The 17,361-nt window shown below is 35.8% G+C and overlaps 1 long non-coding RNA gene across 1 annotated transcript; it reads left to right on the top strand.

The window, feature by feature from the left end:
- Nucleotides 1-235: 235 nt before the first annotated feature.
- GS1-278J22.2 (uncharacterized) lies at nucleotides 236-10,764 on the top strand. Its single transcript, NR_187904.1, has 3 exons — nucleotides 236-542; nucleotides 6,692-6,787; nucleotides 10,270-10,764. It is a non-coding gene; the product is annotated as an uncharacterized GS1-278J22.2 (long non-coding RNA).
- Nucleotides 10,765-17,361: the final 6,597 nt, after the last annotated feature.

Here is a 17,361-nt window from a genome sequence, read left to right as displayed (position 1 = left end):
GTGGTTCCAAAGTCAATGGAGTTATGTTCCCAGGAGAATTATGGCTGCCTCTGCTGTGTCATGCAGCTTGTCAGGGAAGTCGGAGAAAGCCGGCAGCTACAGGCCTCAACCAGCTCCTATGCAACCCAAAAGGCTGGTCTCACTCCCACCATGCCCCCCCGCACCCCACCTAATAGCAAGGAATTTGCTTCCAGACGGTGGGTTAGTGAGGCTAAGAACTTGCCCCAGGCCACCAGAGTCCCCGCTGAGAAAGCAAGCAAGGCTTTTGCACCTTCATGCCTGTTGAGTCTGCACACTGGATTCGTGCCCTCCTCAGAGTTCTGACTAGGAGATGTCACAGTTGGTTGGAATTGTTACAAAGTTTAGCTGGATGTTTCCTTCTCACTGTGGTCTTTTTCCAGTTCTTCTGGCAGCCCTCCCCAAGGACCCCTGTGAGACAAATCAGGAATGGCTTCCCTGGGGCCCAAGGAGCTGACAGGGCTTTTCCTGCTGCTTCTTCTACCCCTGTATTTCACTCAGCTTTCTAAATGACCCAGTTCCAGGTAAGGTCAGAATCTTCTCATGTGATCCAGACCTTCAGGTTCCCCAGTGAGAGTGTGGATGATCTCCATTTCCCATTTTCACAGTTTGGGCACTCACAGTATTTGAGCTGCTTTCTGGGTCCTGCAGGAGCAATCCACTTCCTTCAGAGGGTCTGTGGATTCTCTCAGCTTTCCTGGTATGTTTCTGCAGTAGTTCTTGGAGCAAACATTCATGATGTGTGTCTCCACACGCTGCTCTGTCTGTCCCAGTGGGAGCTGCAACTTAACCCTTCCTCTTATCCACAATTTTCACTCCTCCAAGATTTTAAAAAACACTTTTAATGGGAGAAACAATTGTAAGATTCATGGAGAGGGGCCCAGGGGAACTGAGCAGAGAAACTCTATACACCCTTCATGCGGTGTCCCCAGTACCCTGAGGATCAGGGATTCATCAGACGGACTAATAAGACTTCGAAATTGTTATATTCATGGTTGTAGTTTATGACAGGAAAATGATGGAGGGCAAAATTAGCAAAGGGAAAAGGCATATGGTGGGCATGGGGTGGAGTCTGGAGGAAATCAGGTCTAAGCTTTCAGGTGCTCCTTCCAAGGAGAGAAGCATGGGATGTGCTTAAGTCTTCCAACAATGATGTGAGACAACACATGCAAAATTCTGCCCACCAGGGAGGCTCAGGTGAGCCTTAGTGTTTAGGGTTTTCATTGAGAGTTAGCTTTACAGGGCTATAGTTCCTGTGTGATTGACTTCAGTTACTCGAGCTTCAAACCCCCATAGAAAAAGCAGATGTTCATCCTAAATCACAGTTTTACCATAATTTATCTGGACAAATGGGAAGAGTGTGGCTCAAGGTTTCAGGCATGCCAAAACACTCTTATCAGACAGGATTTTCCAACAGCTTGGTCCCTTGGAGCCAACCAAAATCCAGTTCAGAAAACAGGGCTTTCTTAAAAGTGTTTAGGGTTTGAGCATCTAGACCTGCCCAGTTTACTCTTTCTTGCACACACTACAATCTAGGTTTTCCTATTCCATTCTAAGTTCTCATCGCATGCACACAAGTTTTCTTCTTTTCCTTGTAAAATCTTTCATTTTATAATGTTTGTCTTGCCATTGGTATAGCCAAAAATATAAATATTCAAAAAGCTTGGGCACTGTGCAAGCCCTAGATTTGAATCAACTTTTCATAAAGTCCTTGTCCATTTTCCCAGTGCAAATGAACATTCTGCATCAGTAATATCTTTTTCTCTGAAATATTAAAAACTGTACTCAGCAGAAAATACGTTATAAAAAGATGATACTTTGTCATTATCAGAATTGAGAAAAAGTTGACTTAAAAGAGCAAACTGCAGTGTGTGCCAAATAGTGCAGGGAAAAAATTGAGTTTGTACAAAATCTACTTGTACCTCAAGCTGCAACTTTGTATGATTCCTCCTTATTTGAAAACCAATCCAGAGCCTCCACACTCTGGATTGCTTTATATGAATATTATTTTTAAGTTTGACTGGCATAAAACTCTTGTGCCTGGTAACTTTTATTTATTGTGTTTGGACTTAGGAATCTAAGATTTAAATTTTCTATTGGGAATTTAAAGACTTCGGCTTTTAGCTCATATTTAAATCCACATCCACACTCACTAGGATGAAACAATTTAAGACACTTTTAAGATATTCTAATATAAAAAATAAAACAAATGCCTTCTCAGTTAAATAATTACCATACTATTCATCAGTCTCTATATGGACTTGAGACAGGCCATAAATTCTCAAATACATTGAAATATGTGTTTGATACTCTATAACCTAAAATGCCAATCAAGATTTCCTAGAGAATAAATATCATTTTTGCTCCTCATTAAAGTTCTCACAAAAGTAGTTCAACTGATATGTAAAATACTTAATTTCATATGTAAATGAGCAGTCATAGTTTTTAAGAATAACTTCAATTAGGACACAAAATGTTCTACTTGGGGTTGGGGCTTTATGAAATCTTTAATGATTGAAAATTTTGTCAACCTTTTTCTAGTCCTAATACTAGCTATGTAAGCTAGATCTATCTACACACATATATGTATACATGCACGTATAGGTATGTATATATATGTGAAGATGTATGCATATTAAGCATACACTTTTCCTAGATTGCTCCTATCACTCCAACAGAGAGTTCTTCTTTAATAATTGGCAATTTGGCATTTTTAGTTTATAAGTTCTTGGTGCATGTTTTTCCACTGCCAATAGAATACCCAAATTTCAACAAATAGACAAAATAGATATTAGTGTCTCAGTAAATAGCAATACCGAATATATAATAATCAGAGTTTAAAATATATCCACCTTTACTTTCTTTAAAAAAATTCATAATGTGTTACAAGACAAAAGAAAGAATTTTTCTTCAAGAAATTTCATGCCCTGCCATGTTCTTGTAATTCACATGCCAATTTATATAAGGTTTTCTCTTAACTATAAGAAAATAAAAAGCGCAAATTTGTTTCATGGTTTATAAGAAGGAGTCACCTGTGTTCCCATCAGTCAGTCATATTCAATTTCTTCTAGGGACACATGTCTCTTCTCCCAGGCCAGGAGAGTTGTGAGGCAAGGCAGGGCAGAATTACTGTTCAGCTAGAGAGTATCAAAAATGAAGAAATCCTCCACTGCCGCTTTTCTTACCGCTGCTCCTCCTCAGCTGTCTTCCATGTGGTATTAACTCTGAAATGAGCTGGGCTCACCTCAGACCCAGGAGAAGGAAGAGGGAGCTGCATGATTTTAAGCAAAGTGTCAGAAGAAAATATGTTCTTATTTAGATGTGGAAGTATAATGTGCATATGAATAGGGAAAGAGCATTTCACGTAAACATGAATTTTTTTAAGAATGTAACATTTTCTTAAGGTTAATCAGGAAACTGACATATAAGCTAATATAATTTTGAGAGATAGATTTTAGAGTAGCTTTCAATGCAACCAACACTCAAGAAACACACACAGGCACAAAGAGAAAAAAAAATAGTACCATCTTTGGCTTCATGCACATTTGAGGAAGGAAAAAGGGTGTTAAATTCATTTAATATAATATCATGCATCCATTACAAATGACCACATGAGTCTAGGTTGTCATGGAAATATATTCATAGAATTACATCTGTGGTAAGAATGTTTCAAAAGAGATGCCTATTATGATCTCATTTTACTGAATATCTATATATATATAATTTATATATTTATATGTGAATACTTACTGTTTTGGTCCACTCTTGCATTGCTATAAAGAAATACAAGAATTTATAAGAAAGGTGATTAATTGGCTCACAGTCCTGCAGGCTGTACAAGAAGCATGGCAGCATCTGCTTCTGGGGAGGCCTCAGGGAGCTTCTACTCATGGCAGAAGGCAAAGGGAGAGCAGGTGTCTCACATGGAAGGAGCAGGACCAAGAGAGAGATGGGAAGTACCACACACTTTTAAATAACCAGATGTCATGAAAATCTTATCACAAGAGCAGCAGAAAGGGGATAGCACCAAACTTTCAGAAACCACCCGCAAGATCAAATCACCTCCTGCCAGGGCCCACCTCCAACACCGGGGATTACAATTCAACATGAGATTTGTGCGGGGACACAGAACCAAACCTTTTCACTTACAAGAGAACTCAGGAAGGATTTCACAGTGAAATTATTCATGGATTATAAGATTGTGTGATGGTTAATACTGAATGTCAATTTGATTGGATTGAAGGATGCAAAGTATTGATCCTGGGTGTATCTTTGAGGGTGTTGCCAAAGGAGATTAACATTTGAGTCAGTGGGCTGGGAAAGGCAGACCCTTAATCTGGGTGGGCCTAATCAGCTGCCAGCATGGCCAGAATATAAAGCAGGCAGAAAAACATGAAGAGACTAGAATGGCCTAGCCTCACAGGCTACATCTTTCTCCCGTGCTGGATGCTTCCTGCTCTCAAACACTGGACTCCAAGTTCTTCAGCTTTGGGACTTTGACTGGGTTCCTTGCTCCTCAGCTTGCAGATGGCCTATTGTGAGACCTTGTGATCATGTGAGTTAATACTCCTTAATAAACTCCTGTTTACTTATATATCTGTCCTATTAGTTCTGTCTCTTTAGAGAACCCTGACTAATACAGACTATATGGATTATTTATTTAGTTTGTAAATTTATTAATCTGATTAATGATTTATTTACAAAAATGTAATTTATTAGATTACTAAAACAATAATCTGGAAGTAACAGCTAGTTTTTAAAGAGAGAGAAAAGTGTTAGCATGAAAATAGAGGTCAAAGAATGAGTGGCATGTTAATATGCACATGTGTGTTAATTTATGAAGATAGTATATAATCCAATCTATCTATGAACTGTTTACCATCTATCTATCTACACGTATATAACTAACCATGACATTTTACTGCGCAATGGCAGAACACATATTCTTTTGGGTGCACAAGGTACATTATTAATTTTAACCAAATATGGGCCGTATAAAGCAAATATCAATAAACTTCAAAGAATTGCATGGCTTCTCAGTATTTTATTTAACCATAGAGAGATTAAGATATAATTTAATAGCAAAGGTGAATAGAAAATCCTGACATATTTCAATATTATTCGACACATTCATATTTGCAAATAACTTCTGGTATAATTTTTCAGTGCTATTTGCTCAGCTTCACACCTAGTATAAAGTTCCAGCATGCTACATACTTGCTCTGCTCAAGCTTGAGGATAAGGAAGACTGCTACAGCTGAGGAATCTTTTCATCAAACCACATGGGCAAATGATTACTTTTTATGTAGTCAAGGGGAAGGCTCTATTGAAACTTGTAATAATGTTTAAAAAAAGGAAAAAAAAGCTTGCTACCCATGATTTTTTCTTTCAATGTCTATTCCTTGTTGTGTAGAATATTTTAGTTTGTACTAGCCAAAGTATGTCAGGGAAATAATATTCTTCTATACAGCACATAAATATATACTTTCTGTGTGTATTGAGGGATTGCATGGATAACACATAGATGTTTATTTTACCAACCACAAAACTGTAGAATTTAGCTGGGACAACAATAAATAAGTGAACCCAAGGTTATATTTGTATGTACGCAATGGACCTTGAAGATATGTCTGCAAATGAAGACTTTAGAAGTACTATAGAAAATTGTCAGTCTATTTTTTTACTTAAATTGAGATAACATTATTCAATTTTTTTATGGGATAAATAACATGTATATTACATAAAAACATAATATCATAGAATAATATTCAAATACTACCCATACTTGACTCTTATACATATATGCAAGATTCATAGAATCAAAGGGTTATCAAATTTCACTTCCAAAGGAGGAGTGACATCAGACATGTAGTTTAAGTGACACATTTTATAGCTGGAAAACATATGGTTTATTCAACAAATACCTCACCAATGTCTCACATTTATATTCTGATTGTAAAGAAAGTCTCACCTAAAAAGACTTTGTTATCTTTGGTTTGGTATTTGAGGAAAGTCCTCTTTTAAGGCCTTTTGTAAAAGTTCTTTCTCATTTATAGTGCACCTGCAGAATGTCATCTGTGGTTGTAACATAGATATGACAGGTCTCAACTTATTTAAAAAAGGATATGGTGATTCACTGGCCAGTAGTATAAAAAATTGGCCTACCAATTAAATTCAAGATAGCTTTAAGTCTATTTAATAGACACAGTATAAATGAATTACTACCAAAATCTTAGAATATTATACCTTAAGTATGCACTGACTAACTGTGCCAGGCAAAATTAATTCTTATGTAATTGAAGCCAACAGGAGTAAAACATTGGCAAAAAGTCAATTTGTGTGATAAAGAGGGAGCTAGGCAGTCCCAAACAGCTTTTAGTGAATGCTTTTTTGCTTTTTTTCTATCGTTGCTGAAGCTAAATGAGCAAGAGATAAAAGTCAAATATGTGCAGACTATATTCTCCATGTCATTCTATTCTTTTTCTGAAACTAATAAATTGGACCATGAGGAGTGTTGCTGAGGCTATATCTTTACTCCTCAGAATAAATGAAAGAAAAGACAGAAAAGCCCCTGAGTTCAGGTCGATTTGCACAGCCAAAAAAAGTGTTTCTTTTTACTGTATTAATGATTAAAATTGCCTCTACTGATTAATTATATTGATTAACTTTATAGAAATTCATCTATCAAATTCACAATAGGTTGTGAATTAAAATGGAAAACTCTTGGAATAATGTAAATGGACTGGATGGACATGGGGCAACTTTAAATGTATGTATCTATCACTACGTGCATCTAGATTAGGGCTTCTCAAGCTCAGTACTGTGGATATTTTTTTGCCAGATAATTCTCTGCTGTACAGTCCTGTACTCTGTTGCACAGTCTGATGAACTATGGATGTTTAGTAGCACCCCACTAAATTCTAGTAGCATCTTCTTCCCTCAGTTGTGACATCCAAAGTGTCTCCAAACATGCCCTGGGGTGGAGTGACAAAATTGTCCTATTTGAGAACTATTGCCTACATCTTCTTTCTGAGTCAGTACAGCCTGGATTTGTGATATTTCTAGCTATGTCCAATTACTGTTTTTTTTAATTGTTTTTATCATAATTATTATTTTAATGGGATTGAGTTTAGAGTTATCTCAATTATAAGACTTCTTTTCATGCCTAGCTTGTCCTTTGACCAACCTAGCTTCCTTCATGTATAACTTTTCTTCAGCCAAATTCACACTGTCTGCACAATTGTGTCTGCATGCCTCAATTCTCCCACCAAAGGTCTGATCTTTTAAACATGTCACCAATTCTGATGGCCTGTGTGGCTGGGCTTTGCAAAGGACCCACGTCGCTGTATGTCTTGTGTGCAGAGCCTTCGAGACAAAGTGGGGCAGCCTCAACTATCTCCCAAACTGGCTGCACGACCACACACTGGCCATGTTTTGCCACATTTCCCTGTGGAGGGGGCTGATGTGTAGACTGGTGGTTCTCACACTTTAGAGTCAATCAGAATCAAATAGAGGCCTTGATAAAACATGGATTCCTGTGCCCCAAGCCTAGATTTTCCAATTCTCTACATGCTGGGTGGGACTGAAAATGTGCATTTCTTATCAGCACCAGGGGGATGCAGATGCTGCTTGTCAAGAGCCCCTGGTTTGGAAAAACCCATCTGAGTCAGGCGGGTGGATTGTTCCTGTTCATAGAGAATATGTCTAGCACTTTTAATAGTTAAACTCTTCAATGGCTAGCATTAGAACAGAAGTTAAATGTGAAATGTCATAGCTCAACTAATCTCTGTGAGGCAACACTGGGATTTAGATTTAAGTAAACACTTTTAGATTATCTATTTTTGAAGAATTAAGGAATTAGATAATAGGCATTATATTAGCACTTAGCACAGATATCTTATTCTGAAATCTGGGGTCTGTGTCCTAAGCATATTGCTTGCTGAGCCTGGAAGTGAGAGTGAAACATTTGTAGTGTCCCTTTATCATGAGGCAGCATTGCCCATGTAGGCCAATTAATATCTGTTGAAGTTCTGTGATTCCCCAAAGAGCTTGCTGCTCTTGTTATTGTAACTATAACTGATGCTACTTGGGATCACTGCAGAGCTAATACTATTCGTACAACTTATATTTAAAGAACATGGCCGGGTGCCGTGGCTCACACCTGTAATCCCAGCACTTTGGGAGGCCGAGGCAGGCAGATCACCTGAGGTCAGGAGTTCAAGACCAGCCTGGCCAACATGGTGAATCCCTGTCTCTACAAAAATACAAAAGTTAGCCGAGCATGATGGTGTGTGCCTGTAATCCCAACTACTCGGAAGGCTGAGGTGGGAGAACCACTTGAATCCAGGAGGCAGAGGTTGCAGTGAGCTGAGATCGTGCCATTGCACTCCAGCCTTGGCGACAGAGAGAGAGTCTGTCTCGGGGGAAAAAAAAAGCACTTACTACATGCCAGGTGCTTAGCATTTAACTATTTTAGCAACAAAATGTGATAGATACTATTATTACTATTACAATTTCATTTTGAAAAAAAAATGAATTTAGGTTACAGAGGTCCAGCTTCAGACCCAACAACTCTAGTCATTAACTTAATTTCAAAACTGAAGAATTAATTTCCTCTTTAGTTATGTAAATGATACTATACTTTAGGGGACTGTTCTATTTAGAAATTGGCACTACCAAGGTTTATCTGGTCTCTGAAGCTCAACGTGGGAGAATAGAAGCTATCAGTATACTCTACGCTCATCTTATTTTTCATGAAATCAGTGTAAGATTAGTAAGAATAAAGTAACATTCTTGGAGAACATTTTAAGCTACTTATTTTTCCAGGTATGAAAAAAAAGTTACCTACTTTTCCTCGTATGAAAACATCTAGAGAAGACATAAACTAAAATTGGCAGGTCCACGCACAGATTTTCATCTCTTTTTATATTGAAACAGAAAAAAATCAAAAGAAAAATAATTTTGAGAGAGAGTAACGTGGGTAGTGATTTTTGTTGCCTCCTCAGGTAACATGAACTAGCACACTGTCTTCTTTCCTATTGCCCCTCCCTGAAGATAACACCAGCAACAGTTGCTTTTCTGCCAGTAATGATCCTGCTCTTTCCTGCTACGTCCCCAAATAGAACATAAAACCCATGTATTACTCCTAGAGTCAAAGACTAACAATATGTAGTTTATTTTTATGACATCTTTAAATCTATGTCTAACGCCATGACAAATGGGTGCGAGGGAAGAGGTATTCTTGTATCCCTTATGATATTTAGTTCTGGTTATGACATCTTGACAAAGAAGTGAGTTGCAAATGCTTTATTTTGATTACTGCTCTAGTCTGTGTATTGCTGATATTCTAGCACATTCCAAATATTGGAAAGATGCAGGAAATCCTGTGTGGTGGCCTCACGGCATGTCACACTATAAAGTAACCTGAGCAGCCTAGAATCCCATTTCAACCTGTAATGTCCTTTGATTCTTCTTCTCCTTACTTCTTTCCCTATCCACCATGGCTTCTACCTTTAAGGAGTTCACAGTCTGGCAGTACTTGCAGCAGGCTGATGTTCCAAGCAGAGCCAGCCTGTGGGCCTGCTCACACCCCTACTTGCTGAGCTTCATCAATATTCTGGGCTGACAGTTTTCAAAGTGTACCTGGATCTTCAAGATGTTTCAGGAAGTCTGCTATGCAGAACTATTTTCAAAATACTATTTTATTTCTTTGTCTTTTTCATTCTCTCATAAGTGGACAGTTTCATTCTCTCATAAGTGGAGAGTAGTAGTTTACCAGAGACTACACATAGTATTACAAGAGATTGACTGCAGAAACTCATTTGGCAATAAAGCTATCTTGCATTAAAGCCATATTTGCCAAGTGTAAAGCAATGCAACTCTTCTCAATATATATATTTTTACTTAAAAATATAGTTATTTATCATAAAATATTTATACTAACCTTTAATGAGTTTATTTTAAAATAAATCATTTAATGCATACATTTTAAATTTCTCAGTTTAATTTCTAATATGGTTAACATTGATACATGTATCTGTGAATTTTAAGATAGCAAAGGATTCCTCACATCAAAATGTCCAAGAAGAACTAACATTAGGCATCTATGTATGGATTAAGATTTTCATTATTGATTTTCAGTGTGTAGGCCATTTTCCTATTTCTAAAATAAGTATGTTAATTTGCAGACATTGACAATCCTGGCAGCTGCTAATCCCAAAAAGCTAATTCCAAGTATTTATTGCTTTGCAGGCAGATAAATGAGACTTTTTTGCTCACCTGGAACTTCAAAAAGTGCTTACCAGAGACTGTCTCCTCACTGCTATTTCTTATACACAAATTTCTTGTTGGCTTCCTGACTCAATACTTCAATTTATAGTTATCTGGTAATTCCTCTTAAGAAACTCTCTGCATGTTGGTAACAACTGTCTATCCACTTCACTCAGTCCAAACAGCAGAGAGCAGCTGTTGTCATGAGGAAAGCAATAAGCTCACATAAGCCTTCACCTTATACCTCCTGAACAAAGTACTTCTGGCGTCCAGAAAATACAATGATTTCAGAGATGTCTTCTTAGAAATAACAGATACAGAAATGGAAGAAGTGCATTATATTGCATTGCCAACCAATTGCTGCATTATAGATCTCACTAAAGCTCAAAGCAACCCTATGAAACCAATTTTGTCATCCCTAGGGAGAATGAATAATGAAACTGTGAGAAGTGAAATAAATTGGGTAACTTTTCTCTCCCAGTAAATTGTGATGCTAGACTGCATATCTAGTTCTGGTTCACTTCTAAATCCACCTTCTTTCATTATGCAATGATTTAATTATACTCAGGAATGAAACCAACTAACCCATGAGAAAATATTTCTCCAATAGTAGCTAAACAAATAATGTTTTATAACAATAAAGAGCATAGAGAGTTTGTTAATAATTATAAAGTGTTTACTCATGTAATCACAGAGGTCAGGAGCAGAATTTTAATAGTACAGAATATTTTCATAAGTCCCACCTCAATCCCAAATGCTTCCCTCACCCCAAAGTAATGGTCACTCCATCTGCCTTTTTCATGATCACATTCTTTCTCCTCTTTATAATTTCACCATCCATAGATTATGGTTAATTTATTTGACTTTTGCTTTTTTCACCCAACCTCTGGCATTTTTGTCATCATTTCGTAGTATACTATTTTGTGAATAACTACAATTTATTCTATCCAATTGTTAATTAACATTAAATTTTAGGTAATTTTCATTGATTACAAAGAATATTATTATTAACATTTATGTTCACTATTGCTATTAATATCTATCCTGTTGCACAACTGCATGCGTTTTTCTGTTTTTTGAGACGGAGTCTCGCTCTGTCTCCCAGGCTGGAGTGCAGTGGCGCGATCTCGGCTCACTGCAAGCTCCACCTCCTGGGTTCACGCCATTCTCTTGCCTCAGCCTCCCGAGTAGCTGGGACTACAGGCTCCCGCCACCATGCCTGGCTAATTTTTTGTATTTTTAGTAGAGCTGGGGTTTCACCGTATTAGCCAGGATGGTCTCAATCTCCTGACCTCATGATCCACCTGCCTCGGCCTCCCAAAGTGCTGGGATTACAGGCTGCATGAGCTTTTCTAAGATGGTGGTTCTTATACATTTTGGTCTCAAACTTTTTTGTAATTTAAAAATTATTGAAGACCTCAAAGAGCGTCTGTTTAAATTCTATCTTACCAATTTTTGCATATTAGAAATTAAAAATTATCATTAAAATTGTTAGTACATTTAAAATAATAAATCTACTTATGTTGATATAAAAATTTTTAAGAGATATATTCACTCCACATTCACTGTTGTATTATTCACAATAGGCAAGCTATGTAGTCAACTTCAGCATTTATCAATTGTATGAATGGAGAAAGAAAATGTGGTAGATATGCAAAATGGAGTGCTATTCAGCTTAAAAGAGAAGAAAATACTGTCATTTACAACAATGTGGAAGAACCTGGAGGAAATTGTGTTGACAGTGAAATTAGCCATGTGGTATTTCCTATAGAGAAATACCACAAGATCACCCTTGTATATGGAATCTTAAAAAGTTGAGCACACAAAAGTAGAGTAAAATGTGGTTGCCAGAGACTAGAAAATGGGGAGAGATGTTGGTCTAAGGATACTAAATTTCAGTTAGAAAAGAGGAATAAGCGAGAGAGGTTTACTATATAATATGGTGACTATATTGTATTCCAGAAAATTGATAAGAAAGTAGGGCTTAAGTGTTCTCACTATAAAAAAAGTATGTGCATTATAGAGTATGTTAATTAGCTATACGTAGCTATTCCACAATGTATATGTATTTCAAAACATGTACACAATAAATATATAGAATTATTATTTATCCATTTAAAAACATTATTGGTATATATCACAATCAATGTCATTTTATAAATATAAAACCATATAATGGGCCAAAGAGAAATCTGAAATTATTAATATCAACATATTATGTTTTTTGCTGGATAGTATTTATGTATTATTTTACTTTGCCAAATAAAACAAGTTGGCTTAAATCAACCAATTACTTAATTAATATCACTTTTAATGAAAACTATGAGTATATTCCCCAAAAAAACAGCGAAATTACTGAGTAAATTAAAATTGGCTTATGTTTTTATAAATTCTTTAATGATTGACTTAATTGAAGGCAACTGAAATCTGATAGCTACTTATTCATTAAATTTGTTGGGACACACACAGATATGTAGCTGAAAAGTGGAAGACAATTTTAAAATCCTTTTTAGATTATTATGGATATTCTTATTTGATAACACATTAAACTTAGCAAAAGGTAATTTTTAAAAATTTACTTGCAATGTGGGATTAGTGACTATTTCAATCTCTATAACATTAAAATCTGCTGCTCTATCTTGAACTTTGAATGGACCTTTTATTCATCCACGACCTTGTAACTTCAGACACTGGTCATTTGGAAAATATTGGTTCACCAAGTTACATGGCTCTTCCAAGTGGTAATACCTCCAATGAAAAATTTTAAAAAATCAAATTGGAGTTTACATTTTCACAAAAATCAAATTTGATCTCACATAGTATGAGAGAAGTGTCACTGCTCCTCTCATAAGAAAAGTCTTTAAGATAGGGAAACTATCAAGCTCATGATGATAGATGGACACGTTTTTAAAAATTTTAATTATCACTTGAATGCTCACATTTTATCACAGGCAACAAAGGCCATCAAATGCTTTCCTTGGAATTACTGGCTCCCTGTTAATTTTTATGAAAATAGCTGCTAAAGCATTAGTTTTCCTGCCAGTCTTACAAGTAAAAGTAATATTTCATTAAAAAGTGGCTAGTTCAGCTTGCAACTTACATAGGTAGTGAATAATAAAAAGTGCTAGTACAGTTTGATGATGCCGTGTGTCCTCATGTGTCTTCATGAAGACATTTTTAACAGAACTCCAGCAGTGTGAATCACATAGCATTTGCAACATCAGTGCAAATGTCAACACAGTGAAAGAACTAAAGTAAAACATCATAGTGCAGATGTGAAAATAGCTTTGAATTAATGGACCTCATTAAAAGTCTTGAGGATTCTCAGAGGTGCAAAGGCCAGACTTTGAGAACCACTGCTTTAGGATATCCACTTGTAATTATCCCTGATGCTTCCTAGGGTATATATAATTTAAAATTTACAAGATTGTGCCAAGTTATTTGTTTCAAGCTTATTACATACTAATGTATATTATCTTCATTGTCCACATGGATGAGCATAATAAATTCCTAGTAGGGGTTTTTACTGGTTCAAAATATATATCCATTTCTACCTTTGTTAAATATTGTCAAAATATCCTGATAAACTACATTTCCAATACAAATTTTTATCAATAATTTATGAATGACTGATTCTCCACATCCTCTTCAATGCTATTTGTAATTAATCTTTTTAAAAAACTGACTATGTTAGTCATATTTCACATTGCTATAAAGAAATAGCAAAGACTGGGTAATTTATAAAGCAAAGAGGTTTAATTGTTTCACAGTTCCACATGGCTGGGGAGGCCTCAGGAAACTTGCAGTCCTGATGGAAATCAAAGGGGAAGCAAGGCATGTCTTACATGGCAGCAGGAGAGAGAGAGCAGGAAAATCACCAGACACTATCAAACAACCAGATCTTGTGAGAACTCACTCACTATCAGGAGAAAAGTAAGGGGGAAATCCACCCCCATAGTCCAATCACTTCCCACCAGGTCCCCCCTCCACATGTGGGGATTACAATTTGAGATGAGATTTAGGTGGGGACACATAGACAAACCATGTCACTGATTAAGTAAAAACACCCCAATTTCTCATCATTTTAACACGCGTTGCCTTGATCAGTGGAGCAGTAAGTCATCCATCCTCTGTTATTGTTTATATTTTCTTTCTGTGAATTGCATGGCTGGGTCCCTTGCCCACTGTTTCCTTGGTTAATTTTTTTTTTACTAATATCTAAGGCTTTCTTGAATAGTTTGTATATTGATTATTTCCATGTTTCCTCCTACTGCATATGTTTTCTCCTAATATTGTAAATTTGTTAACAAGTTCTTTTAACGTAATTTAAATTCATCAATAATTCTGCTGTTTCTCCTCAGCTTTGTCCCTGGCTTCAGAAAGCTCTATGCATCCATAGATTTATTTTAAAATGTTCATATTTTCAACTAATACTTTTATAGGTTTTTTATTCTTTTATATTTCATCTACCTGATATTTATTTTTAAGTATTGTAGAGTATCTTTAAAGGGTAGACTGTCACACTTTTTGTTGAAACATCTTCGTTATTCATTTTTCATGTAACATTTTATATAGTTACATTTTATCTTAATAGAAAAAGGAAAAAAGGGAAGTCTTATGAAACTAGAAACATCTGAAAATGACTTAGTTAACTTGCAATGCTAAGTTTAAGTTTCCCTCTACTATTGTATAATTTGAGTTCAGGTGGCAATGAATAAAGAAGCACCAGCCTATTTACGAAGGAGTCCTGCTTCTTTTAGTGGAGTGTGATATTTAGAAATTAAGATAAGAAATAGAGGCTTTAGGCATGTTCAAAGGTACTATGATGTCTCATCTTTGAGTTCCTTTTAGTGAGCAGTGCAAGAAAATACATACTAAAAATCATGAGTTCATATTTATATGTGTAGTTTAAACTTACTACTATGTGTTTTGGCTAACCTTTTGATTTTATATTTTTCAGCTTTTTTTCTTATGATGAGATCTTGGTTTCTAACAACAATAATACATTGACTTTATCCTTCAATATGCATATTTCACAATACTAATATAACTCTTATCAATACCCACTTTCTGAATGTAGTTGAAAATTCATTTGAAGTTCTTTTTATGCTTGAAATGTACCTGCTAAGAATAAACATTATATTGTTTCATTTATTTGAAATAATTTCTTTCATGGGTAAACATACTGCTGATTTGATAAAACATTAGGCTCATGTGTTTCTCTTTATTTCAGGATTTGCTGTTTGATGATTTGAATGTGTCATAAAATCACAAAATTCGAAAGGCAAAATCCTAGTAACTGGAATAATCAGAGAAGTATGGCTTCTAGGTCTGTCACCTCTAATTCATCTCCTCCTCCCCCAAGTGTGTAATCATAGCCTTTAGTTTTTACAAAACTTTCATTACTTTAAGTAAAAATAAGCAAATGTATACAAGAACATTTTTATTTCTGTTTCTTATATAAAGGTAAATTAGTATTGACCAGACATGGTGGCTTAGGCCTGTAATCCCAACACTTTGGGAGGCTGACGTGGGTGGATTACTTGAGGTCAGGAGTTCAAGACCAGCCTGGTCAACATGGTGAAACCCTGTCAATACAACAATTAGCCAGATGTGGTTGTGGATGGCTGTAATCCCAGCTACTCTGGAGGCTGAGGCACAATAATTGCTTGAACCCAAGAGGCAGAGGTTGTAGTGATCCACCACTGCACTCCAGCCTGGGCTACAAAGCGAGACTCTGTCTCCCCCCCAGTGCCCCCAGAAAAGGTAAATTACTATTTACTCTTTACCCTCATCCTATTCTACACTTTGTCTAATTCACTTAATGAAATATCCTGCATGGAAGTCTTCCTCATATTTTTGAAGACTGTAGAGTACTCCATGGTAAAGATGCACTTGCCTCATTCAATGGTCCTTTATTGGATGGCTTCATGGGTTGTTTTAAAATATCAACTATTACAAACAATTCTGCAATGGAAAACACTGCATGTTTTGTTTCACAGATAAACAGTATCCTAGGTTTCTTGGTTCTTTCAGTCTCACACACATGCCACTGTTTTCCATGTGTTGTGCTTCTTTACAGTAAGAGTGTCTTTATTCACCAATAAGACTATTGGCCCTATGGCTGAAAATTTAGTTTGAATCATCTCTATTTTTAAATTTATCAGTAAAGTTATTTTGAATCAAAAATAGACACTGGATATCTACTATATCTTCTTAATTCTTAATTGAAAAAAATAAACATTCTTCCTGACTCACAGGAAACTTCTGAGTTGAGTTCATTTTGATATTCCAAATCTGTACCCCTGGGTTAAAATCATTTAATCATGTACTTAGAAAGTGTTCTTATAAAGTTTTACATTTATAAATCATATCAGTTATCACTATTACTTTCTCAGATAGTGTACACACATTTATTGCTCATTTGCTCTTTACAACGTGTTTATCCTCACTCATTTGAAATGAATTTACATTGGGTTAAGGTATGCATATTGACCTATCTAACCATAACAATGCTATGAAAATGTAAATGTCTTCCTGATTATGAAAATTGTGTGCTAGTCCCTTGCTATTTCCACTACAGATTCATTTAAAAATGTTGCATCGTTAGTGTGTGTCTCAAAAACATGCCATACTTTAATACGTTTCTGTAAAGCGTTTTCTCATTTGTAAATGTTAAGAATTATCCCAGGAGACTAGAGGTAGATTGTTAAGAACTCCAGCTGGGAATGGAAATTTCATTTTGTAGCTGTCCTTTTTTCCATTTAGCTTTTATTTACTATCAATGATATATATTGCAAGAATAACATTCACTCTTTTTTCACTCATTAGAGAAAAATTGTGAAAAGTCACTTTCTCAGAGTATATTTTTACAATTTCCTCCAAGCAAGTGTTGCCCCAAATTATATTTCAAAAAACACTGTTATTCAAAAACCGAAAAAAAATGATTTATTGTTAAAAAATATGTGAAATTCTAATGCTGACAGGTATTTAATAAGCTGGTTGGTAATTTAGAAGTCCTCCAATGAAAGCTTTTGCTTAACTTTATTTAAGATAGCCTTTCTTAAAGTGTTG

The sequence above is a fragment of the Homo sapiens genome, chromosome 7 (genome assembly GCF_000001405.40).
Source record: "Homo sapiens chromosome 7, GRCh38.p14 Primary Assembly".
Classification (NCBI taxonomy): domain Eukaryota; kingdom Metazoa; phylum Chordata; class Mammalia; order Primates; family Hominidae; genus Homo; species Homo sapiens.
The sequence above is the reverse complement of the archived record's forward strand: the minus strand, read 5'-3'. Positions and strand labels throughout refer to the sequence as shown.